A 23032-nucleotide genomic window follows, 5' to 3' on the forward strand; every position below is an offset into this window, starting at 1 on the left:
AAGTGATTCTCCTGCCTTAGCCTCCCAAGTAGCTAGGACTACAGGTATGTGCCATCATGCCCAGCTAATTTTGTATTTTTAGTAGGGACAGAGTTTTATCATGTTGGTCAGGCTGGTCTCGAACTCCTGACCTCAAGTGATCATCCCGCCTTGGCCTCCCAAAGTGCTGGGATTACAGGTGGGAGCCACCCTGCCCGGCCAGCCGATGTGCTTTTTTTAAAAAAACTTTTTTGAGTTATAACTCATGTACAATCAGCTAACCCTATTTAAAGATTGATACATTTTGACAACTGTACCTGTGTGATTACCTGCTACAAGACACAGTACGTTCACTGCCCCTAAAAGTTTCGTTTGTACCCCTTTGTGGTTAGTCCTCTCTCAACCCCCAACCCTGAGCAGCCACCAGTCGCTTTTTCTTTTCTTTTCTTTTTTTTTTTTTTGAGACAGTTTCACTCTTGTTGCCCAGGCAGGAGTGCAATGCTGCGATCTCAGCTCACTGCATGCAACCTCCGCCTCCCAGGTTCAAGTGATTCTCCTGCCTCAGCCTCCCAAGTAGCTGGGATTACAGGCATGCACCATCACGCCTGGCTAATTTTGTATTTTTAGTTGAGACAGGGTTTCTCCATGTTGGTCAGGCTGGTCTCGAACTCCTGACCTCAGGTGATCCGCCCGCCTCGGCCTCCCAAAGTGCTGGGATTACAGGCATGAGACACCACGCCCAGCCCAGTTGCTTTCTTTCACTGTACATTAGTTTGCATTTCCTAGATTTGCATGTAGGTCATACAGTGCATACCCTTGTACTTGGCTTCTTTCCTTCAGCATATTTTTTAGACTCATCCTGCATGTATCAATAGTTTATCTCTTTTAATTGCTGAGTAGACCTTCAGGTATTTGGATGTGCTAGTAGGGTAATTATAACCCCTTGCACACAGCTTCTATGAAAATTCCCTCTTACGCGCTAATGTCTTTTTTTTTTTTTTTTTTTTTTGAGATGGAGTCTCGCTCTGTTTCCCAGGCTGGAGTGCAGTGGCACAATCCCGGCTCACTGCAACCTCCGCCTCCCGTGTTCAAGCAATTCTCCTGCCTCAGCCTCCTGAGTTACTGGGACTACAGGCACATGCCGCCATGCCCAGCTAATTTTTTGTATTTTAATAGAGACATGATTTCACCATGTTGCCCAGGCTAGTCTCGAATTCCTGAGCTCAGGCAATCCGCCTGCTTTGGTCTCCCAAAGTGCTGGGATTACAGGCATAAGCCACCGCGCCTGGCCTTACGCCAGAATTTCTAATAATACCTTAAGTTTTTAGACCATGTTCGAGCTTACAAAGCAGAGTCACATACATAATCACTATTAAGTCTCAGACATTGATAATTTAATGAGGAAACTGAGGTTTGGAAGATTAAGTACTACAGAGATTGAAGAGTATCCTGCCTCACTGTTCTATCCTGTGGCTTTGATCACCACCTGCTCCCCACCCTCAGCTGCCTCAAAGTCCAGCTCCCTTTCAGGGAGTGGACAGTCATTCGCAGAGCTAAAGGCGTTGCTTTTCAGAGAGGCAGCCAACCTAGGGAATCCTGTGTCTCCCGCCAGCTTTGCTCCAGCTGATGATGATGTGGTGGTACTATCACTGCCTCCCCAATCCCAGCCGGCATAAGCCTGTGTAAGGGTATCTCCTTTCTTGGCCATCCAGAAGCTGAAGAGACCCCATCATTATCTGCCCCATCCATCCTGCCCTGATAGACAGAAGTCTGAACTTGTGGCAGCCTGGCTTTGAATTCCAGCTCTGCCTCTTACCAGCTGAGGGACTGACCTTGGGCAAGTTGCTGAACATGCTAAGCCTCAATTTTCCTGTCTGTACAATGCAGACAATAACAGCACTTGTCTTGAAGGACCTTTGTGAGAGAAGGGTGCCAAACCACGCAAACAGCTGGAGAGCGCCTGGCATTGGGCACACCCTCAGAAATGAGGTCGGTATTAGTGCTACTCAAGTGGTGATGTTACTCCACATGGCTCCCTCTGTGGTTTGGTTCCTTGGTCGCCTTCCACTTTTATGGTTCTCTGTTCCTCACTGAGCTTTGGGTATAAGGCTGTAAGATAGGGCAGAGGCCAGTGGATGCTTTCTCCCTGATAACTGCATTCTGCTCTCTGTGCTTCTCTCTCTAGAGTGCCCAGAGGGGTGCGGGGCCTGAGAAAAAGCAGACCCAGGGCAGAGAGAGCACCACCCAAGCTGCTGACTATAATAAATGGCAGGGGCTGGGGACTGGAAGGGGTACCATATGGTTGTCTTCTGATTACTTTCAAATGGAATCAGACTCAAGCCTAAGAGAGAGAGTGGGGAGAAAAAACCACACTCAAGAATGGATCCTCTCTGCAGGGTGACAGACTCAGCCAAGCAGAATGCAGAGCCATTGCCAGAAGAATGAGATGACTATGATCCTCATTGAACTGAACACTTTTGTCATTTTCATGGATGGATTCTCCCAGGGGCCACTTTCTATTTGCCCAAAGGCTTATGGAGAATCTGTGGTTTTTCTCTTTTCCCTGGAGGATGGGTGGGTAGATGTGGCAGTGATCGCAGTCCTCTGGACCCTCTGCCCGGGGCCCTCGGTATGTGATAGGTGATCCCTTTTCTTGTTTCATCTTGCTCACATCCCTGTTTTCCTGGTGACTTTGCAGTCATGCTCTTTGCCACTTACTATCTATGACGGTGAGGCCCATGGTGAAGTGTCCTAGATGAACATCCAGAAACTGTCTGAGCTCTTACTGTGCATGCAGCACCCTGCTAAATTCTGTGCAGTTCTCCGGAGGAAAAGGTAAATGTCAGGTTTTTCCCATCTGGCACTCTGAAGTCAACTGCTCTTTTGAGCTGGCTGCACGTTCTCCACAGTGACCCTCGGAGGGCAGGCCTGCCTTTTTTTTGAGACGGAGTCTCGCTCTGTCGCCCAGGCTGGAGTGCGGTGGCGCAATCTCAGCTCACTGCAAGCTCCGCCCCCCGGGTTCACTTCATTCTCCTGCCTCAGCCTCCCAAGTAGCTGGGACTACAGGCGCCCGCCAATACCAGCTAATTTTTTTGTATTTTTAGTAGAGACGGGGTTTCACCGTGTTAGCCAGGATGGTCTCCATCTCCTGACCTAGGCCTGCCTTTTTGAGGCCTGCTGGGATTACAGGTGTGAGCCACTGCGCCCGGCTCGTGTGTGTTTCACTCTGTCTCCCAGGCTACAGTGCAATAACACGATCCTAGCTCATTGCAGCCTCGAACACTTGGGCTCCAGTAATCCTCCTGCCTCAGCCTTCTGAACAGTGAGAACTACAGGTGTGCCCCACCACACCTGGATAATTTTAAAATTTATTTTATTTTTATTTTTGTAGAGATGGGGGTCTCACTACATTGCCCAGGCTTGTCTCAAACTCCTGGGCTCAAGTGATCCGTTCGCCTCAGCCTCCCACAAGTGCTGGGATTACAGGCATGAGCCCCTGCGCCCAGCCTGGACCAGTGTTTTTGGACAGCACGAGGATGCTCTCACTGCTTCATGGGTGTGCTTCTCTGTTCCAGAGCATTTGGCTTTTCTGTTCCTGTTTTTGTTTTGTTTTTCACAGTGCTTTATGGTCAAATTCTTCTCCTCTCCCTTTAAAGAAAACTCTTCAGGACTTGATATTTTAGAGAGTAAATAAACGGAAAGGAAGAAAGATATGAGGCAATTACAGTGGTGGGGAGCCGTTTACTAGTATGCAATAGTATAATTCTCAAATTGGTACAAAACAAAAACAAACAATTTGTTTTCTTGCAAAATACAACCAAAGTGCTGGTTAAATAAGAGGAAGGTAGTGCCTTGAGCCCAGCACCTGAGGCAAATAGATTGCTCAGGGGCACCTTTTAAATTAAAGGGACATCTTCCCTTCTGTGGAGTCACCAGCTGTTTGGGTGACACTTCCCGTTGTGCTCCCGGCCTCTGTGGAAGCATAAACATTCTTGTACATAAAGCAACTGTGGCAGTGAACTCCACCAGGACCAAGGCTGTTCTCGTGCAGAGTGGGAAGCTGAAAGAACCACCGCTGTAGCCTCTCATGGCAGTCTGGAAAATGCCAGGGGGAAGCCGACTGCACAGATGGCCAGAGGCAGCTGCATGCTCCCGATTTCTTTCAGGTTTTGTTGGGTGAACCTTCTTGGTGATTCAGGTAGCAGGATTGTTTAGAATCCTGCTTCCACGTTGATGGTGCGCCTTTCAAAAACATTTACAGAGAGCGTTCGCTCCCTAAGTGTTTATTCCTTTACCTTAGGAAGAAATCTGCCTCATGGCTGCTTTTGTGTACAGTCTATTTAGACACAGACATGTGGAACGATGCAGGGTCGCTGGAGTTCTCAACCATGGCATCTGCAGTTTCGTTTTTGTTTTTTTTTTCTTTTGTTTTTTGTTTTGTTTTTCGTTTTGAGACGGAGTCTCGCCCTGTCACCCAGGCTGGAGTGCAATGGCACGATCTCGGCTCACTGCAACCTCTGCCTCCCGGGTTCAAACAATTCTCCTGCCTCAGCCTCCTGAGTAGCTGGGATTACAGGCGCGCGCCTCCATGCTCAGCTGATTTTTGTATTTTTAGTAGAGACGGGGTTTCACCATGTTTGCCAGGCTGGTCTCGATCTCCTGACCTTGTGATCCACCCGCCTCGGCCTCCCAAAGTGCTGGGATTACAGGCATGAGCCACCGCGCCCAGCTGCAGTTTCATTTTGAATCAACTTTTCCTTGAATTGCCTGATTGCTCATTTTTTTCCCCTCTTTTTTCCTAATCAGATTTTACCCATCCTGGAGAACTAGTTCCACTGTAATGCATCTGGCTCCTCTTCCCTTCTTTTCACTTTCTCTTCCCCTCCTCTCTCACTCTCCTCATCTCTTCTGCCACAAGTCTTATTAAGCTTCACACCCTGTGAAGCAAGCCAGACTAAGGGGATTACCCCAAATCACCTATGAAGATGCACAGTGATCTGCCCAGGGTCCTCAGCCACTTTCTCCATGACAAATCCCCTGATAATGGCATTCTTTTTTTTTTTTTTTTTTTTTTTTGAGAAAGAGTCTCACTATGTCACCCAGGCTGGAGTGCAATGTTGTGATCTCAGCTCACTGCAACCTTTGCCTCCTGGGTTCAAGCGATTCTCCTGCCTCAGCTTCCTAAGTAGCTGGGATTACAGGCACGCACCACCACCACACCTGGCTAATTTTTGTATTTGTAGTAGAGACGGGGTTTTGCCATGTTGGCCAGGCTGGTCTCAAACTCCTGACCTCAGGTGATCACCCGCCTCAGCCTCCCAAAGTGTTGGGATTACAGATGTGAGCCGCCGCGCCCAGTCCATTCTTTCTCTCTCTCTGTATATGTATGTATATACTGTACAGACACTTCACACATTTATGTGCAACTATAATATCCTATTATAACAGGAGTTGAGAGTATAAAGATAATTAGCTATAATCTCCACCCTCAGGAAACTGGCAATCTAGGGTGGAAGATACACGATTATGATAAAGCGTGGTAAATGCGAGGCAAGAGACAGAAGATGGAAGACACATCAGTGTGGGAGGGTGAGGGTCATAAACCAGACAGGGAGCACACGATTACATCTGAAGCACCAATAAGACAGGAGCAATACTCTTCAGTTTGAGAGGAGAGGAAAAATTCTGGGAAGGCCAGTAGACAGTTCAAATAATTTAATATTATGCCTCAGGTGTAAGATCCTGCTTGGAAGAAACCTCCAGAGGTAGACGCTCAGAAATCTGTAGCTGGAATTGCTAGTAGGGCTCATCTAGTCTAGTACCCTTTTTCTTTACACTTAAGTAAAATGAGACCAGAAAATGAAGTGATATTTTCAAGATCCCACACGGCTAGTCTGTGATAGAAACCAGAGCTTAGGCCTGCTGATCTCAGTTGAGACCATGGTTTCTTTTTTCCATATCAGGCTACTTCTCTGAGTCCAGGCACCTAGAGACAGCTTTCTTTTGTTCTTTCTTTTTGAGATAGAATTTCATTCTTGTTGCCAGGCTGGAGTGCAATGATGCAGTCTCAGCTCACTGCAACCTCTGCCTCCCAGGTTCAAGCGATTCTCCTGCCTCAGCCTCCCAAGTAGCTGGGATTACAGGCGCCTGCCACCATACCAGGCTATTTTTTTTGTATTTTTAGTAGAGTTGGGGTTTCACTATGTTGGCCAGGCTGGTCTTGAACTCCTGACCTCAGGTGATCCTCCCACCTCGGCCTCCCAAAGTGCTGGGATTACAGGTTTGAGCCACCATGCGTGGCCGAGTCAGCTTTCTAACAAGGTTTTGGCTCTGTTTTCTGGAAGAATGGGAGGATCTGTTCTCTGAATTAGCCTTTTCATATGGTTTTCTCTGTCTTTTCCTTTTGCTCCTCTCTTGCTTCTGGCCTTTTGTTTGCATCTCAGCCTGTAGAAGACAAAGCTAACCTGTCCGTAGGCCATGGGAGTGGGCATCTCTCTAGGTGGGTGAGATGCTTGGGTGAGAAAGTGCCACTTGTACCAGTGATAGGATATTGAAGGGATAGACAGTAGTCTCAGTCACCCATCCATGAGGGTAAGAACAAGCGATATTCTGCTATAGCAGAAAGAAAATTGGCTTTAGAGACAAAAGACTTGGCTCAAGTCCTGGATCTGTCACTTTCTGAGGATGTGGTTTTGAACGTTATTTCTATAGGTGGCTGCATCGAAATGAGGCAGTGGATATAAAAGTAATAAAAACCACAAAAAGTCATGCACATGCAAAGTGATACTATTATTTGTTACCAACAATTGGGTCCTGGTACTTTGAGGCTCTCAAAGTACTGTGAACTGTTGGTTTTGTGTGGTATTTAGTGGGCTATTCTAGTCTTCTTCCTTGCCAAGCACCACTGTTTCAGAGAGGCTAATTCCGTCAGCGTGAGGAACAGAAGGAGTCACTCGAGAAGCCATCTCCACCAAAGTAAACACATCCTTCTGGAAGCTTAAATTTTCACTTTATCCCTTGGGAACTAGGGACATGAGTCATAATGAGTTAGCAGGTGGCTTTTGTGAAATACAAGAGGCTTTGTGAAATGCAGCAAATATAGCCAAAAGCATGTGTAGTAGCTTCCTATGGCTGCTCTCACAAATTACTACAAATTCAGTGGCTTACAACAACACACATGCATTCCCATTTATTCAGTTAGGAAGTCAAAAGTCTGAAATGCATATCATAGGCTAACGTCAACGCGTCAATAGAACCGTGTTCTTCCTGGAAAGAATGTGTTTCCTTGACTTTTTCCAGAGTCCGCCTCCATCCCTTGGCTAGTGGCCCCTTCCTCCTCCATCTTCAAGTACGTCACTCCAAGCCCTCCTCATCATCATCACCTCCTGTCTCTGTCTGTGACTCTCCTGCCTCACTCCTTTCCTTGTAAGGGCCCTAATGATTATATCTTCCCAGCTCAAGCTCCTCAGCTGAATCACATCTGTAAAGTCTCTTTTGCCATGTAAGGTCACATATTCACAGGGTCTGCAGATTAGGACATGGACAGCTTTGGTGACTATTATTCTGTCAGCCACAGCATGTGTGTATGTAAGCGCTTGGTCTGCCTTTCCCCTGAGTTCATGACATTTCTGTTACTAACTTGTCACCCTTACCATTTCCAACCCAAGCACCAGGTAGTCATAGCTAACCTTCACTGGGTACCTACAGTGTGCCAGACAATATTTTAAACACCTAACATATGTATTATTTTGTTTTATTCTTCATAACAACCCTATGAGATAGGAACTATTATTATACCCATTTTACAGATAAGAAAACTGAAGCACAGAGATTTGAACTTGCCCAACATCACACAGCTAGAAAGTGGTAGAAACCAGGATGCAAATCCCAGGCAATCAACTGCACACTCAAGAGTTCTTAGCCAGCATCCATGGTATTGGCATGTAGCTAGTGTTCATGAAGGTTTGATGAACAGCAGAAGGAAGGAAACTTGAGATCTAAATAAATGATATGAAGTCTCTAGATTACATGGAACTGGGGTCAAGAGGGCAACCCGACTTGCCCATTGGTTTGTTCTTTGACTTGGCCCCAGCTAAATGCAGTGGGGTTGGCTGTCTAGTGATGTGGTCTGGAGTTGGAATGGTTATCACACTTTCTGGAATAGTGTGTGTGTGTATGTGTTTCTGAGTGTGAATGTGTGTGTGTGTGTGTGTGTATATACACTGCCCATCTCAGCTCCCAACTGTGAGAAAATGGGGACAGGATTGTACTTACGGGTCACAGAGCACCAAGTCTCTGCCAACCACCTATCCCAGCCTCCACCTGCTGCTGCCAGATGAACCTCTGTGGTAGAAATAGGAAGCATGTTCCTATTCTTGTGGCCTCAAGAAAGGGCTCCTGGGGCAGAATGCAGAGTGGTGTGTCTGGTACTTGAGTGTATGATCAAACTGATGTACATTCAAATTCCTACTCCACTTAGGTTACCAAATTCCTCTAAGCTCAGTTTTGTCTTCTGTTAAATGAAGGTAATAGTCTGTGCCTCAAGGAATTGTTACAATGATTAGATGAGATAATACACATAAGAATGGTGAGTGCAGAGCCTGACCTTAAGTGCACGATAAATGGTAGGCATGGTGGTTGGGCTTACAGTGTTGAGTACAGAAGGGGACTCTGGGTATGTTAATAAACTATTCTAAGTCTTCTGGTAAGAGTGTGTTTCTGTTTCCTCCCCAGCCTCCTCAAGACCTAGATGGAGCCTAGGGAATAATTTATTATTTATTTATTCATTTATTTATTTATCGAGACTGAGCTCTGTTGCCCAGGCTGGAGTGCAATGGTGCGACTGTGGCTCTCTGCAATCTCCGCCTCCTAGGTTCAAGCGATTCTCCTTCCCCAGCCTCCCGAGTAGCTGAGATTACAGACGTGCTCCACCACGCCCGGCTAATTTTTGTATTTTTAGTAGAGATGGGGTTTCGCCACGTTGCCCAGGCTGGTCTCGAACTCCTGACCAGAGGTGATCTGCCCACCTCGGCCTCCCAAAGTGCTGGGATTATAAGCGTGAGCCACCACACCCTGCTAGAAGGAATAATTAAAATAGCATTCAGTTTGTGTGATGAGTGTTCTGAGGAGGGGAACAGAGATGCGGGGAGCTGGCTTAGGAGTGTGGCGCTCCTCAGTGCGCAGTGGGAGCCACACCACTCCTGCCTTCTGCCTGGCCTCGCAAGTTCAGAGCTGCTGCCTTGTCAAGAAAAATCCATGGGCCAGGCGCAGTGGCTCACGCCTATAATCCCAGCACTTTGGGAGGATGAGGCAGGCAGATTGCTTAAGGCCAGGAGTTCAAGACTAGCCTAGGCAACATGGCAAAACCCCATCTCTACAAAAAATGCATAAAAATTAGCCAGCATGGTGGTGTGCACCTGGTCTTGAAGATCCACTGAGCAATCAAGATACCCTCCTGGGACGTCAGGCCTCAGATCTGCAGCAGCTTTTCTACATCAGGTTGGAGGAGAATATTTGAAGTTCTTATCTTCCTCCAAACGTAAGACCACAGGCCCACAAATGGAAGGCTGAACAGACAGCTGTGTCCCCTTGCTGTCTGGCCGCCTCAGACACCACAGATCTCCCGGTATCACTTTATCCATCAGGCCTTGGCAGGGAGGCCACAAGTGGGCTGTCTTGTTCCGGCCTGTGGCTGCCAGCCTTACAGACCAGTGGAGCAGGAGAGATGGGCCTCAGAGGAAGAGCGGTGGGACACCAGGAAAACCGCCTCGGTGAGATGGCCTGCATTGTGCGTGACTGGTGAAGACTTCCGAATGGGATGACTCCCAGGGGGTGTTGAGTAAACAGACGGTTGCTGTTTGCTGTGCAGCTGGCTCCGAAGGATGTGGAGGATGGAATCTCAGTATGTGAAGTTTTTTTTGGTTTGTTTTTTGTTGTTTGGTTTTTTAATGTTCCTTTTCCATCTTCTGCATGCTGGGGCACCAGCCGCTGCCCCAGAATGGGTTGTCCTGGGAAACAGGTCATGCAGGGCTACCGATGTTTAGTCTGGAAAAGACATGCAGAGATAAGGAAGATGTTGAGGCAGGACAGAACCAGGCTCCTGTTAGTCCAACAAAAGTTTACTGAGCAGTGACTTTGTGTCAGGCACCTGGGAATTGTGCCGCATTCTGAAGGTACAATCATGAATAAGACCCTGACCACAAGGAGCCCTCAACCTCTTGAAGAAGACAGACCCAAGCAGATGACTTCAACATAATGTGGTATGATGGAGAGGGATGGAGGGTATCTCTCCTCTAAGAGTGAAAGGGCTGTCAACTGAAAAACGGATGCCTATTTTGTGAACTTTTTTTTTTTTGAGATGGAGTCTCCCTGTCACCCAGGCTGGAGTCCAGTGGTACAATCTTGGCTCACTGCAACCTTTGCCTCCCGGATTCAAGCGATTCTTCTGCCTCAACCTCAACCTCCCATGTAGCTGGGATCACAGATGCACACCACCACACCCAGCTACTTTTTGTGTTTTTAGTAGAGATGGGGTTTCACCATGTTGGCCAGGCTGATCTCGAATTCCTGACCTCAGGTGATCTGCCTGTTTCGGCCTCCCAAAGTGCTGGGATTACAGGCGTGAGGCACAGTGCCCGGCCTATTTTGTGAACTTTAATGAGTGGTTATAATTGCTGGGGACAGGGTCAGATTTCAGTTCACAAGAAAAAACAACTTTTGGAAACCATTGGCCCACGTACAGATGCTCGACCTCCTCAGCGAGAGTTTTCTCTGGTTCTGAGTGAGCACAGCAGAGCTTCCTGGTTAGCCTCCTCAGAAGGACCCAAGCATTCTGTGTTGGAGTCAGGAGCATACCTAAAGTCCCTGGGGGACCAGGCTGGGCCAGCCTGCAGTAGGGACATGGCCTCTAGGGGTGTCCTTTATGGATCAGCTTCTGGATAGCGGCTTTCATGGGCATGATTCTCAGGTTGGTTAGGGATGGATTATCCATACCCCAGGGCTGAGGGGATGTGCAGTGATGAACTGATGGAATTGAGCAATGGCCTTAGGAAAGATGAGCCCTCAGCATTCGCTGGTTGGGCAAGCGTTCACTGGCCAGCCACTGTCTGGCCTCTGGGCACGTGACAGTGAGTTGTGCTCAGCATTTTGGGAAGGGATTACTGCTGAGAGAGGCCTCAGCAAAGGAGATGGGAAGCAAGTCCAGTGTAACCAAGCCAGGGCAGAACAGCCACCTTAGGAGGAAGAAAAGGAACTGTTGAGCTGGGGATGCAGGCCCTTGAGACTCAGGAGGATTTGAATTTGTAAGTTAGGAGGCTGAAGTTTTCAGCAGTAAAAGGAATAGCCTTAGCCAACCTTTAACTCCTTACCATAGAAAGTTCCAGGGCTGGGCGCGGTGGCTCACGCCTGTAATCCTAGCACTTTGGGAGGCTGAGGCGGGCAGATCACAAGGTCAGGAGATCGAGACCATCCTGGCTAACACGGTGAAACCCCGTCTCTACTAAAAATACAAAAATAAAAATAAAAATTAGCTAGGCATGGTGGCGGGCGCCTGTAGTCCCAGCTACTCGGGAGGCTGAGGCAGGAGAATGGCGTGAACCCGGGAGGCAGAGCTTGCAGTGAGCCGAGATGGCTCCACTGCACTCCAGCCTGGGCGACAGAGTGAGACTCCGTCACTTAAAAAAGTTCCAGAAGGCCTGGCGCTCTTTCTATTGTCACTGCAATTTCTGATGATGGAGAGAATGCATATTTTTTTGCTAAAGAGTCCAATCCTATCTCCTTGTTTGGTCCTCTTTGCTCTGGAATTGCTCTTTCTGCAGAGGGGATTTTCTACTTTAAAAGAAAAAGAAGATCATGATGAAGAAGGAAGTACTCTCAAATTTCTTCAGCCTTTCTCAGCTTACTGCTGGACTCCTGCCAGAATATTAGAGTATCTTTTTAGAGCTGCATATCTAGGGTTCAGGATGCCTCTTTTTCTTCCACTAATTTCCTGTTAATAGGGCTGTGTTGTTGTTTTTCCCACACACATTTATTAAGTGTGTGCTCTGCTAGTATCAAAAGAAACAGATATGGCTAGAGAATGAGCTGCCACCTTGGTGCTCCCAGTCTAGTAGGGAAAACAAAAATAAAAATTAAATTATATCAAAATAAAAAAAGAAAACCAAATAAGTATACAGCAGTCTGCTAAGTGCCCACAAACACAGAGATGTAAACGGTGCTATGGAATCATGAAAGAGCTAGTGAAAATAACTCGAGTTGGGGCCCCTCGTTCCTCTGAAGAGCTGGATTTTGTCAAGTGAATTCATATTAGATTCTCAAAGCTGTTGGAGGTAAATACCATTCAGTCATCTCTTATGTGCCAATCATAAGCCATGGCACCTTACAAACATTGTCTGTCTTTTTTTTTTTTTTTTTTTGAGACGGAGTCTAGCTCTGTTGCTGAGGCTGGAGTGCAGCGGCGCGATCTCAGTTCACTGCAAGCTCCGCCTCCCCGGTTCACGCCATTCTCCTGCCTCAGCCTCCCCAGTACCTGGGACTACAGGCGCCCGCCACCACACCCGGCTAATTTTTTTGCATTTTTAGTAGAGACAGGGTTTCACCATGTTAGCCAGGACGGTCTTGATCTCCTGACCTCGTGATCTGCCCTCCTCGGCATCCCAAAGTACTGGGATTATAGGCATGAGCCACCGCGCCCAGCCCAAACATTGTCTTCTTACTCAGCACAGCAAAGCTCTGCAGTTAGTTTTTTTTTTTTTTTTTTTTTTGAGGCGGAGTCTCGCTCTGAGGCCCAGGCTGGAGTGCAGTGGCACAATCGCAGCTCACTGCAACCTCCGCCTTTTGGGTTCAAGCGATTCTCCTGTCTCAGCCTCCTGAGGAGCTGGGATTACAGGCGTGCACCATCATACCCGGCTAATTTTCGTATTTTTTGTAGAGACAGGGTTTCACCATGTTGGCCAGGCTGGTCTCGAACTCCTCACCTCTGGTGATCCACCCACCTTCGTCTCCCAAAGTACTGGGATTACAGGCATAAGCCACCGTGCCTGGCCTGCAGTTAGTATTAATAAACCCATTTTACAGATGAGGAAACTGAGTTTATTAAACATGCACCATGATTAAGTGGCAGAGCTGGGTCCCTAACCCAAGTTTTCCTGGCTCCAAAAACCTTTTATTAGACCCGTGTTTATGGTGCCTCGGTTTCTGCTTTGCTGGTTTATTTTTGTTCCTGGATCACAGCTTTAAACTTGCACACAGAGCTCTAGCACCCTGACTGGCAAATAAGCATTACTGGCAATGCAGCCAGCTGCTGTTTCCTGTGTTTAGAGACCACATTGCAGGAAAGTGTTTTAAGAGTTGTTTTGAGTGTTGGTTCTGTTCCTCCGTGTGAAAGTGTGGATGCTGTTCTGAGAAAGAGAAAGGTGACGCGGATGCTCAGCGTTCTGTGGCAGTTCCCATTTGGTGGGGATTTGGAGAGGAATTGATATGTCACTGGATGAGATCAGAGTCTTTGTTCTGTTTGGTCTGAGACCATGTGGCATCATGAAATCAATGGACTGTGAGGTCAAAGTTCTAGAACTAGCTCAGCCGCTGTTCTGTCCTGTGACTTTGGGTAAGACAGTTTATGTCTGCTTTGCCCATCTGTGCAATTTAGTTCTTCAAAGCTGCAAGGAGCACCTCTGATGAGCCAAGCACTGGGGTCCATGGCCCCCAGAGATAAACAGGATGTAATCCTGGCCCCAGTGAATTCCTGAGAGTAGGAAGGAGATAGACGCATACACAGTAGATAATCACAAAACAAGGAGGCACCTGCTGAAGGCAGAGCCCATTTTCCTCCAGTTTGCAGCGGACCATCTTGGAACTGCAGGGTATTTGGAACTTCTTTACAATTAAATAGAGAGAGAGTGAGAGCTTACATTTGTTCTGAACCTACTATGTGTAATTTTACTCTTTTCCCAATCCTGAGGAAAGTAGTAAGCAGTACTTCCATTTTACAAATGAGAAAAGCAAGACAGATACATTAAAGGATTTATCCCACTCAGAAGTGACTGTGCCAATGCACTGAAGTTTATCTGGCTTTAGACCCCTCAGCTCTCCCACCTCACCCTAACAGCCCTTGTAAGATTTCATTAAAAAAATTTTTGGCTGGGTGTGGTGGCTCAGGCCTGTAATCCCAACACTTTGAGAGGCTGAGGCAAGAGGATCGCTTTGAGCCCAGGAGTTCGAGACCAGCCTGGGCAACAAGGAGAAACCCCGTCTTTACTAAAAAAATACAACAACTGGCTGGGCAGGATGACTCACAGCTGTAATCCCAGCACTTTGGGAGGCCGAGGCAGGTGGTTTACCTGACGTCAGGAGTTCAAGACCAGCCTGGCCAACATGGTAAAACGTGTCTGTACTAAAAATACAAAAATTAGCTGGACGTGGTGGCAGGTGCCTGTAATCCCAGTTACTCAAGAGGCTAAGGCAGGAGAATCGCTTGAAAACCTGGGAGGCAGAGGTTGCAGTGAGCCGAGATTGCGCCAGTGCACTCCAACCTGGGCAACAAGAGCAAAACTCCATCTCAAAAAAATAATATATACAAAAACTAGTTGGGCATGGTGGCACAGGCCCGTAGTCTCAGTTACACTGGCTGAGGTGGGAGGATTGCTTGAGCCCAGGAGATGGAGGTTGCAGTGAGCCAAGAATGTGCCACTGTACTCCAGCCTGAGTGACAGAGCCAGACCCTGTCTAAAAAAAAATTCTAAATAGCGACATTCCAGCATCCCTGCATTATTGAACTGTTGTCTCCCTGTCTTCCCCTCAGGCTCCCTTCTGTATTTCCTGGCATCACTGTCACCTTCTGGCCCTTCCTGCTCACCTTTGCCTCCCGCCCCCAGGCTCTTCTGTGTGACTCAGCCACCTTTATGAAAGCCGCCTTTATCACTCAAGCCCTTGCATTTTCAACACCTCTGGGTCTTGCTTATGTTTGTTGATGAATCCATGGATAACTTCATCCTGGGTACATTTTTCTCTTAGATGAAATGTTATACAGTCGGCCCTCCATGTCCATAGGTTTTGAATTTGTTGTTTCAACCAATTGCAAATCAAAAATATTGGGGGGAAAAATTGCATGTGTACTGAACATGAACAGAATTTTTTCCTGCCATTATTTCCTGAACAATACAGTATAACAACTATTTACATAGCTTCTATGTTGTAATCGGTATTATAAGTAACCCAGAGATGATTTAAAGTACACAGGAGGGTGTGCATGGGTTATATGCAAATACTGCACCATTTTATATCAAGGACTTGAGGATTTCGATATCTGAGGGAGGTCCTGGAATCATTCCCCTATGGATACCAAGGGAGTACTGTACGTTCTTTTCAAATATTCTCTCCTTTGAGAAAATTTCTCAGGTTGCATTATCCATTCCTAACTCCTATATACTACATTCCCATCTCGAGGCAGAATGTGTTTATGTGCGTCTGTGCTGCCCTGGAACATTGTACGTACCTGATGCCGTGCCTCTGGTGGAGCACTTACCATTATCACATCATCAAAGTCAGCTTATGTCAGTTTCCCAGACTAGACTGTGACTCCTTGGAGAGATAGTATCTTAGTCTTTTATCTTTCCCTAGCCCTTTGCATGGTGCCTGGTACATAATAAGCACTCCATTCATTCATCTCTTTAATAACCTTTTATTAACATTTATTATTTTGTATACCCTGTGCTAGCTGAGATGGTGCCATTGCACTCCAGCATGGGCAAGAGGAGCAAAACTCCCTCTCGAAAAAAAAAAGGCTCTTATAAGGGTACTATTGCTTTTGAGGCAGAGTCTTACTCTGTTGCCCAGGCTGGAGTGCAGTGGCAGAATCTTGGCTCACCACAACCTCTGCCTCCCAGATTCAAGCAATTCTCCGGCCTCAGCCTCCTGAGTAGCTGGGATTACAGGTGCCCACCACCACACCCAGCTCCCACCTCCATGCCCAGCTAGTTTTTGTATTTTTAGTAGAGATGGGATTTTGCCATGTTGGCAAGGCTGGTCTCAAACTCCTGACCTCAGGTGATGTGCCTGCTGAGGCTTTCCAATGTGCTAGGATTATAGGCATGAGCCAAGGGCACTAATCTCATCATTAGAATTCCTCCCATGAACTTGTCTAACCCTAATTACCTCCCAAAGGCCCCATCTTCAAATACCATCATATTAAAGGTTAGGGCTTCAATATATGAATTTTAAGAGGAAACAATTCAGTTCAGTTCATATCAGCCATCAGTGACCTGGAGAGAATACCTATGTGACTGAATGGTGGGAATTTGAGGCCAGGTGGGACCCTACTCCATCCTGCCACAGCCCTGTCAGCTAGCAGGGGTCACAATGGGGACCATCCTCTCTGCCCTTCTTTCCATTGTGGCTGCACTCAGCCTAGATCTGTCTGGCTGACCCATGTTCCTTTGAGTCCAGATGTCCAATAAGAAAATAGAAACCATAAGAAGTGAGAAGGGAAATGCCTGCAGCCTCTAGGAGTGAAGATGGTGAAGGCTAAATCTCTTTCCTAGGTCTCTCACTAACCACTTGGGATCACTTCCACATGACTCACTAGTATATGTGATGGTCCAGCAGGCACTGCCACCATCATCCCAGGACCCACTGCCCAGAGGCTGAAAGGTGTGTTTTCAGGAGCTGATTGACCCTTGTGCTCCACAAAATAGTCAGTCATGGGGAGGGGCTGCCATTCCCAAAATCTCTTAAGAGTTTCAGACCATTCAGAGTTTGGAATGCTGTGGAACAAATTCCTCCATCAGTCAGGAGAATGAGTATCCACTTATGAGGCATAGCTTAGAGCAAAGGAACCGCGTACCAGGATTTAGAAAGTGTGGGCTCTAGTCCCAGCGTTTCGCCTGATTTGCTGCATAATCCTGGGTAATTCATTTGTGCCATCCCAAATAACACTCATTATACCCCATGATGTACCAAGAACTGTGCTTGGCTGCTGGATATGCAGGAATAAACAAGGATGCCTCTGTGTTTAAGAGCCGTAGTGTCATAACCATGTAATTCAGGCTGTGAAGAGGTACACGAGGTACTAAGAGACCTGACTAAAAGCCACGTAGCCCAGAAAGCACAAGACTCACAGGATCCAGGAAGGATCCACTCTAAGGAGGTGCCACTGGAGCTGAGGTTGGGAAGACAGGGAGTTGGGCAACTGGACATGTTGAGGGTGAAGGGGTGGGGCGAGGAGGGGATAGTGTAGGTGAAGAGGTCAGTGCGTGCATAGGCACGATGGATGAGAAATCCTGGTGCACCAACGCAGTGTATTTGGGGGCAGAGGAGCTGGAGAAGCTGGCGACAATTGCATGGTACTAGGGAGTCTCAGTTTATTTTGAAGGCCCCGGAAAGGCACCAAAGGATGGTGAGCAAGTTCACGATGTAACCAGATTTGTCTGAGAGAGCATAGCCTCGCCACTCAAAATGTGGTCCTCAGACCAGCCCTTTTGGTACCAACCAGGAGCTTGTTAGAAACATAGAATCTCAGCTCTACCTCAAACCCACTACGTTAGAATCTCCACTTTAATAAGATCCTTAGGTGATTGGTATGTACACTGAAGTCTGGGACACCTTGATCTCTAGCAAGGACCAGCAAACTCTGTAGAGGGCCAGAGAGTAAATATTTCAGGCTTGGCCGACCATATGGTCTCCATGGTGGCTACTCAGCTCTGCTGTTTTGCAATAGCAGACATGGATGATATATAAACAAATAAGCATGGCTGTGTTCCAATGAAAGTTTATTTGTGGGCACTGAAATTTTAATTTCATATAATTTCCATCAGTCACAACATGTCATTCTTCTTTTGATTTTTTTCTTCTTTTCTTTTCTTTTTGGTTTGAGATGGAGTCTCTCTCTGTCACTCAGGCTGGAGTGCAATGACACGATCTTGGCTCACTGCAACCTCCGCCTCCCAAGTTCAAGTGATTCTCCTGCCTCAGCCCCCTGAGTAGCTGGGATTACAGGCACCCACCACCACAGCCGGCTAATTTTTGTATTTTTAGTAGAGATGGGGTTTCACCATGTTGGCCAGGCTGGTCTCGAACTCCTGACCTCAAGTGATCCATCCGCCTCGGCCTCCCAAAGTGCTGGGATTACAGGCGTGAGCCACCATGCCCAACCAATTATTTTAACCATTTAAAAATGTGAAAACCATCTTAGCTCACAGGCTGTACAAAAGCAGGAGGTGGGCTGGTTTGGCCCCTGGGCTGTAGTTTGCTGGCTCTTGATCTGTGGGTTTCTGTATCTTCAGCTTCAAATAAAACCTCCTGAACTATATGCTTCAGAGAGTGATTGTGAAAATCAAAGGCACGGGGAAGGACACCTACACTAAGTCCTTATTTTCAGATCAGGAAATAGAGACTCAGAGTGGGACAGTGACTTGCTGAGAGTAGCACAGCTTGTTACTGGTTAGGACTTCAATGCAGGTCTGCTGCCTTCCTATCAAGTGCTCTCCCTTTATTTTTGTTTTTGAAACGGAGTTTCGCTCTTGTTGCCCAGGCTGGAGTGCAATGGCGCGATCTTGGCTCACCGCAACCTCTGACACCTGGGTTCAAGCGATTCTCCTGCCTCAGCCTTCTGAGTAGCTGGGATTACAGGCATGTGCCACCATGCCTGGCTAATTTTGTATTTTTAGTAGAGACGGAGTTTCTCCATGTTGGTCAGGCTGGTCTTGAACTCCCGACCTCAAGTGATCCACCCGCCTCAGCCTCCCAAAGTGCTGGGATTACAGGCGTGAGCCACCGTGCCTGTCTGTGCTCTTCCTTTATTCTATGCATAACTGATTTGAAAGGAGAACCAGAGTCCTGTCTTTTCTCCTCTACAACAGAGCAGAGTAAAGGATGCGTAAAAGGCAAATTAACCTTTTTTCTGATATGTTGCAAATGGTTAGTTAAGGGCTTTTTAATGTCAGAGCTGCCGTGTCAAAGCCAAAATGCTGTGAGCAGCCGGTCCCAGGGCAATGTGTTTGTCCAGAGCAAGACCCGAGGCATTTCAATACCTGAAATAAGATACCAAAACTCTTTTTTATTTAGCAAAATAAAAGTTAGATTAGGTGCTATTCCATAACAAATGAAGTTTCGCTAGAAATTATTTAATTTATTCGTATTTGTTTTTGTTGAAACCTTGCTCTTTCATAGTAATTAATGAATCATTCATTGTAATAGTTACTTAAAAGCATAATAGAATGAATCAAGCATTCCATTTGGTTTCTTATCCATAACTGTAGGGTGTCTAAGTGATTTTTCTTGTGACAAAATCCAAGACGTTGATTTCTTTAAATCCACCCAAAATTTCTACATACATAGCCCCAACTCTGGCCCTATTTCTTCTTGTTCTAGCCAGATTCCTCAGTCAAACAGGAACAGTGCTCACAGAGGAAATGGAGTTTTGCCTTCTTGTACCTCTGATGCTTTGGTTTTGGACACAGAAAGGCAATGATGAGATTGAGAATATAAGTCCCAGACAAGCCACACTGAACAGTCCACTCTGAAATCACGTGTGTAGTAGGTCCTCGGGGAACATGGATAAGCTTCCCTCCAAAGAAAGCCGAGTCCTGGGAAGTAGGGACCTGGTCATCCACTGTTTGAATGTCCTGTTCCTTGTTCTTCCACCATGACACTGGGATAGCATGCTGTCTGCAGGGGTAATAGGCACAGGTTCATATGCATTCTTCTGTACACACATGCACACACACACACACACACAGGCACATGCATGCAAACCCACATGCTTACCCCTCTGGCTTGCTTGATCCCTTCAGGGTTTGAAAAAAAGATGCTTCTATTTGGAGGCTGGTAGAAGCCTGTTAGGTTACTGAGTACTTTTGGGGAAGGGACACAAAGAGACAAGTCATCTGTTGCCATCACACAACTGCATGGTCAGCGTGTCTGCGATCCACGATGCTCTGCCTGGGTTTGGGAAGCCTTGTGTGCTGAGTGTGGCAGCAGCAAGGCTGACTCATCACTGCCACCCAGGGTGGCCCAGCTGTCAGAACAAGATGGGCCCATCTCCTGTCTGTTCTCCCTGCCTTGTCAAAAAAGCACCAGTCGTGAATCATCTGCCCATGTACAGCCACTTGGAAGCTCGGAGGGATCACTGCGAGGATAGCGAGTGCAAATTCTCCTCCTGCGTAGTACCCTGCCAACCCTGCCGACGCACCATGAGGCCTTGGACAAATTGCTTTTTCTTAAATAATTAATTATAATAGTTTTCATTTATTTAGTAGTTGACTGTGTGGATGGTACAACGGAGCCACCAACAGACACAAGTCTGACCCACGGCACCAAGCTGCCTCTCACCGTCCAGTATGAGATCTCATCTCATCCTCGTGGCAGTTATTTGATATGGATGATAGTTATATTCCCATTTTTATAGATGGGGACGCTGAGGCGTTCACTTGTCCTGAGAAGTTCACTTGTCCCTGTTGTGGGGCAAGGAGTGACTCTAACCTTCTGACTCCAAATTCCATATTCTTTCCAGTCTGCCTTTCCCGAGTTTGTATCTTTCCCTGTAAAAAGTTGAGAAACACTTCTTTCTCCTTCATTTGGTTCCTGGAGCCTGAGATGCACGTCTCTTTCTAACCGAGAGCTTCTTTGAGGAAGATGGTAATTAGGACACTAGGGGCCAGCTCTCCTCTCATTCTCTCCTGGCAGGGCTAGAGGAATAACCCAGCTCTGGGCTGCCTGTAGCTTCCCCTCCCCTCCAAGAGGGAGCTGCACCAAGCCCAGCACTGTCACGGGGAAGCTTGCTCTGTAGAATTCACCAGCCATCCTACAGTGATTATAAATATAATAAACTACTGATTAAAAAAATTTAATGGAAATTTTCTAACTTATCCTAAGGTAGTAAGAATAGTATAACAAAACAAATGCGTCAAGCAATTCATCCTTGATCCTGTTTCATCAATACCACCCACTTCCCCACCCTCCCCATATAATTTTGAATTAAATTTTAGAGTGAGGCATGGTGGCTTATGCCTGTAATCACAAAACTCCGGGAGGCCAAGGCAGGAAGATTGCTTGAGCCCAGGAGTTGGTCTTGCGGCCAGCCTGGGCAATACAGTAAGACCCCATCTCTACAAAAAATAAGTTACCCAGGCGCATGGTGGTGCATGCCTGTAGTCACAGCTACTTGGGAGGTTGAGGTGGGAGGATCCCTTGAGCCTTGGAAGTCGAGGCTGCAGTGAGCCGCCACTGCACTCCCGCCTGGAGACAGAGTGAGACCTTGTTTCAAAAAAAAAAAAAAAAAGTCTTAGATGTATCATTTAGTCTGTATTTCAGTTTGTATCTTTAAAAGACTGTGACTATTTAAATTATGACCACAGGGCCTGGCATGGTGGCTCATACCTGTAATCCCAGCAGTGTGGGAGGCCAAGGCGGGCAGATCGCTTGAGGTCAGGAGTTGGAGACCATCCTGGCCCACATAGCAAAACCCCGTTTCTACTGAAAATACAAAAATTAGCCGGGCGTGGTGGCGCACGCCTGTAATCCCAGCTACTTGGGAGGCTGAGGCAGGAGAATCTGGAGGCGGAGGTTGCAGTGAGCTGAGATTGCGCCACTGCCCTTCAGCCTGGGGGACAGAGCGAGACTCCTTCTCAAAAAAAAAAAAAAATAATAATAATAAAATAAAATATGACCACAGGATCATTATCACACCTGAAAAATAATTACTTAATATTATCAAATATCTAGTCAGTGATCACATATCCTCAATTGCCTTATAATTAAAAAAAAATTGTGTGTGTGTGTGTGTGTGTGTGTGTGTGTGTGAGCCAGGTTTCAAATAAGATCTATACTTGAGATGGAGGGTTGTGTCTCTTAGTGTAGTTAGCTTCCCTGCCCAGTCTTTTCTGATTTTTTTATTTGTAATTTTCTTGTTGATGACGAGGTCTAATGTCTAAAGTCTCCATAGCCCAGATTATGCTGATTGCAGCCCTGGATGGCAGGGAACATCTATTTCTTGTAGTTCCTTTAAGTTGATAGTTAAGTCAAGAGGAAACTATTAGTTTTTAATATAGATCTCATTTGGATCAAAAGCTCACTTGACCAAAAACTCTTGATAAAACATCAGATACAGCACACATTCTTATAGAAAAAAATGGGAAAGTCGCTGAAGAATAGAATGAGATGAGACATTTTGTCCTATTATGCACATTTACAAGGCGTATCCTAGAGTCTGTGTGCACATTCAACCCATCTAATAAATTGGCTGTAGAGACAAGATTGATCAATGAGGAGTGATCTAGTGAATAAGCATTTATTGAGTACCTACTATGTATCTGCCTGATACTAGGTGCTAAGAAGTCAAAATCAAATAAGGAAGGCCTAGTCCTGGCCTGGGGTTGCTTATCTTCTAGAGAGCGACAAGCAAAAGTTAGGAATGGTGGTATATTGTGAAAATGCTGTGTGTACTTATTCACAGATAGCAAGAGCTGCAGAGAAGAGTGTGTGTTAACCTCACTAAAGCAGGTGAGGCTTCCTGGAAGGGGTGACATATTATGAAGGATGAGGTATCAACAATTTTAGAGCAGAAAATATTTGGTTCAGTTTCCTGAATTTGGAGAAGTAAAGAGGAACTCAAAGCGATGCAGGTTTGTGTTTGTTGTTGTTGTTGTTTTGAGACAGAGTTTCGCTCTTGTTGCCCAGGCTGGAGTGCAATGGCTCACTGCAACCTCTACCTCCTGGGTTCAAGTGATTCTCCTGCCTCAGCCTCCCAAGTAGCTGGGATTACAGGCATGCACCACCACGCCCAGCTAATTTTTGTATTTTTAGTAGAGACGGGATTTCTCCATGTTGGTCAGGCTGGTCTCGAACTCCTGACCTCAGGTGATCCACCCGCCTTGGCCTCCCAAAATGCTGAGATTACAGGCGTAAGCCACTGCGCCCAGCCTGTGGTTATTTTTTAAGAGAGCCTTTCAACAAGGCTTCCAAGCAGAGGCTAGAAATCCTTATATAACTGATAAATCATTTGTCCAGATGTTTCATTCCTTCATTCTTCTGGCTCATCAACATATCTTCACGGGCCGCGGGT

The 23032-nt window shown here is 46.6% G+C and overlaps 1 protein-coding gene across 2 annotated transcripts in view, besides 1 other annotated feature; it reads left to right on the forward strand.

Annotated features, from left to right (window-relative positions):
- Positions 1–23032, forward strand: part of UBASH3B (ubiquitin associated and SH3 domain containing B) — a 158752-nt gene that overhangs the window by 6285 nt on the left and 129435 nt on the right. The window lies entirely within an intron of this gene.
- Positions 9138–9638: an enhancer, noted in NCBI's record as "H3K27ac hESC enhancer chr11:122541852-122542352 (GRCh37/hg19 assembly coordinates)". NCBI's record gives its function as "activates a minimal SCP1, AML or CMV promoter by ChIP-STARR-seq in naive H9 embryonic stem cells {active_cell/tissue: H9 hESC(naive)}" and the evidence as "EXISTENCE:reporter gene assay evidence [ECO:0000049][PMID:30033119]".

Source organism: Homo sapiens, chromosome 11 (genome assembly GCF_000001405.40).
Source record: "Homo sapiens chromosome 11, GRCh38.p14 Primary Assembly".
NCBI classification, from domain to species: domain Eukaryota; kingdom Metazoa; phylum Chordata; class Mammalia; order Primates; family Hominidae; genus Homo; species Homo sapiens.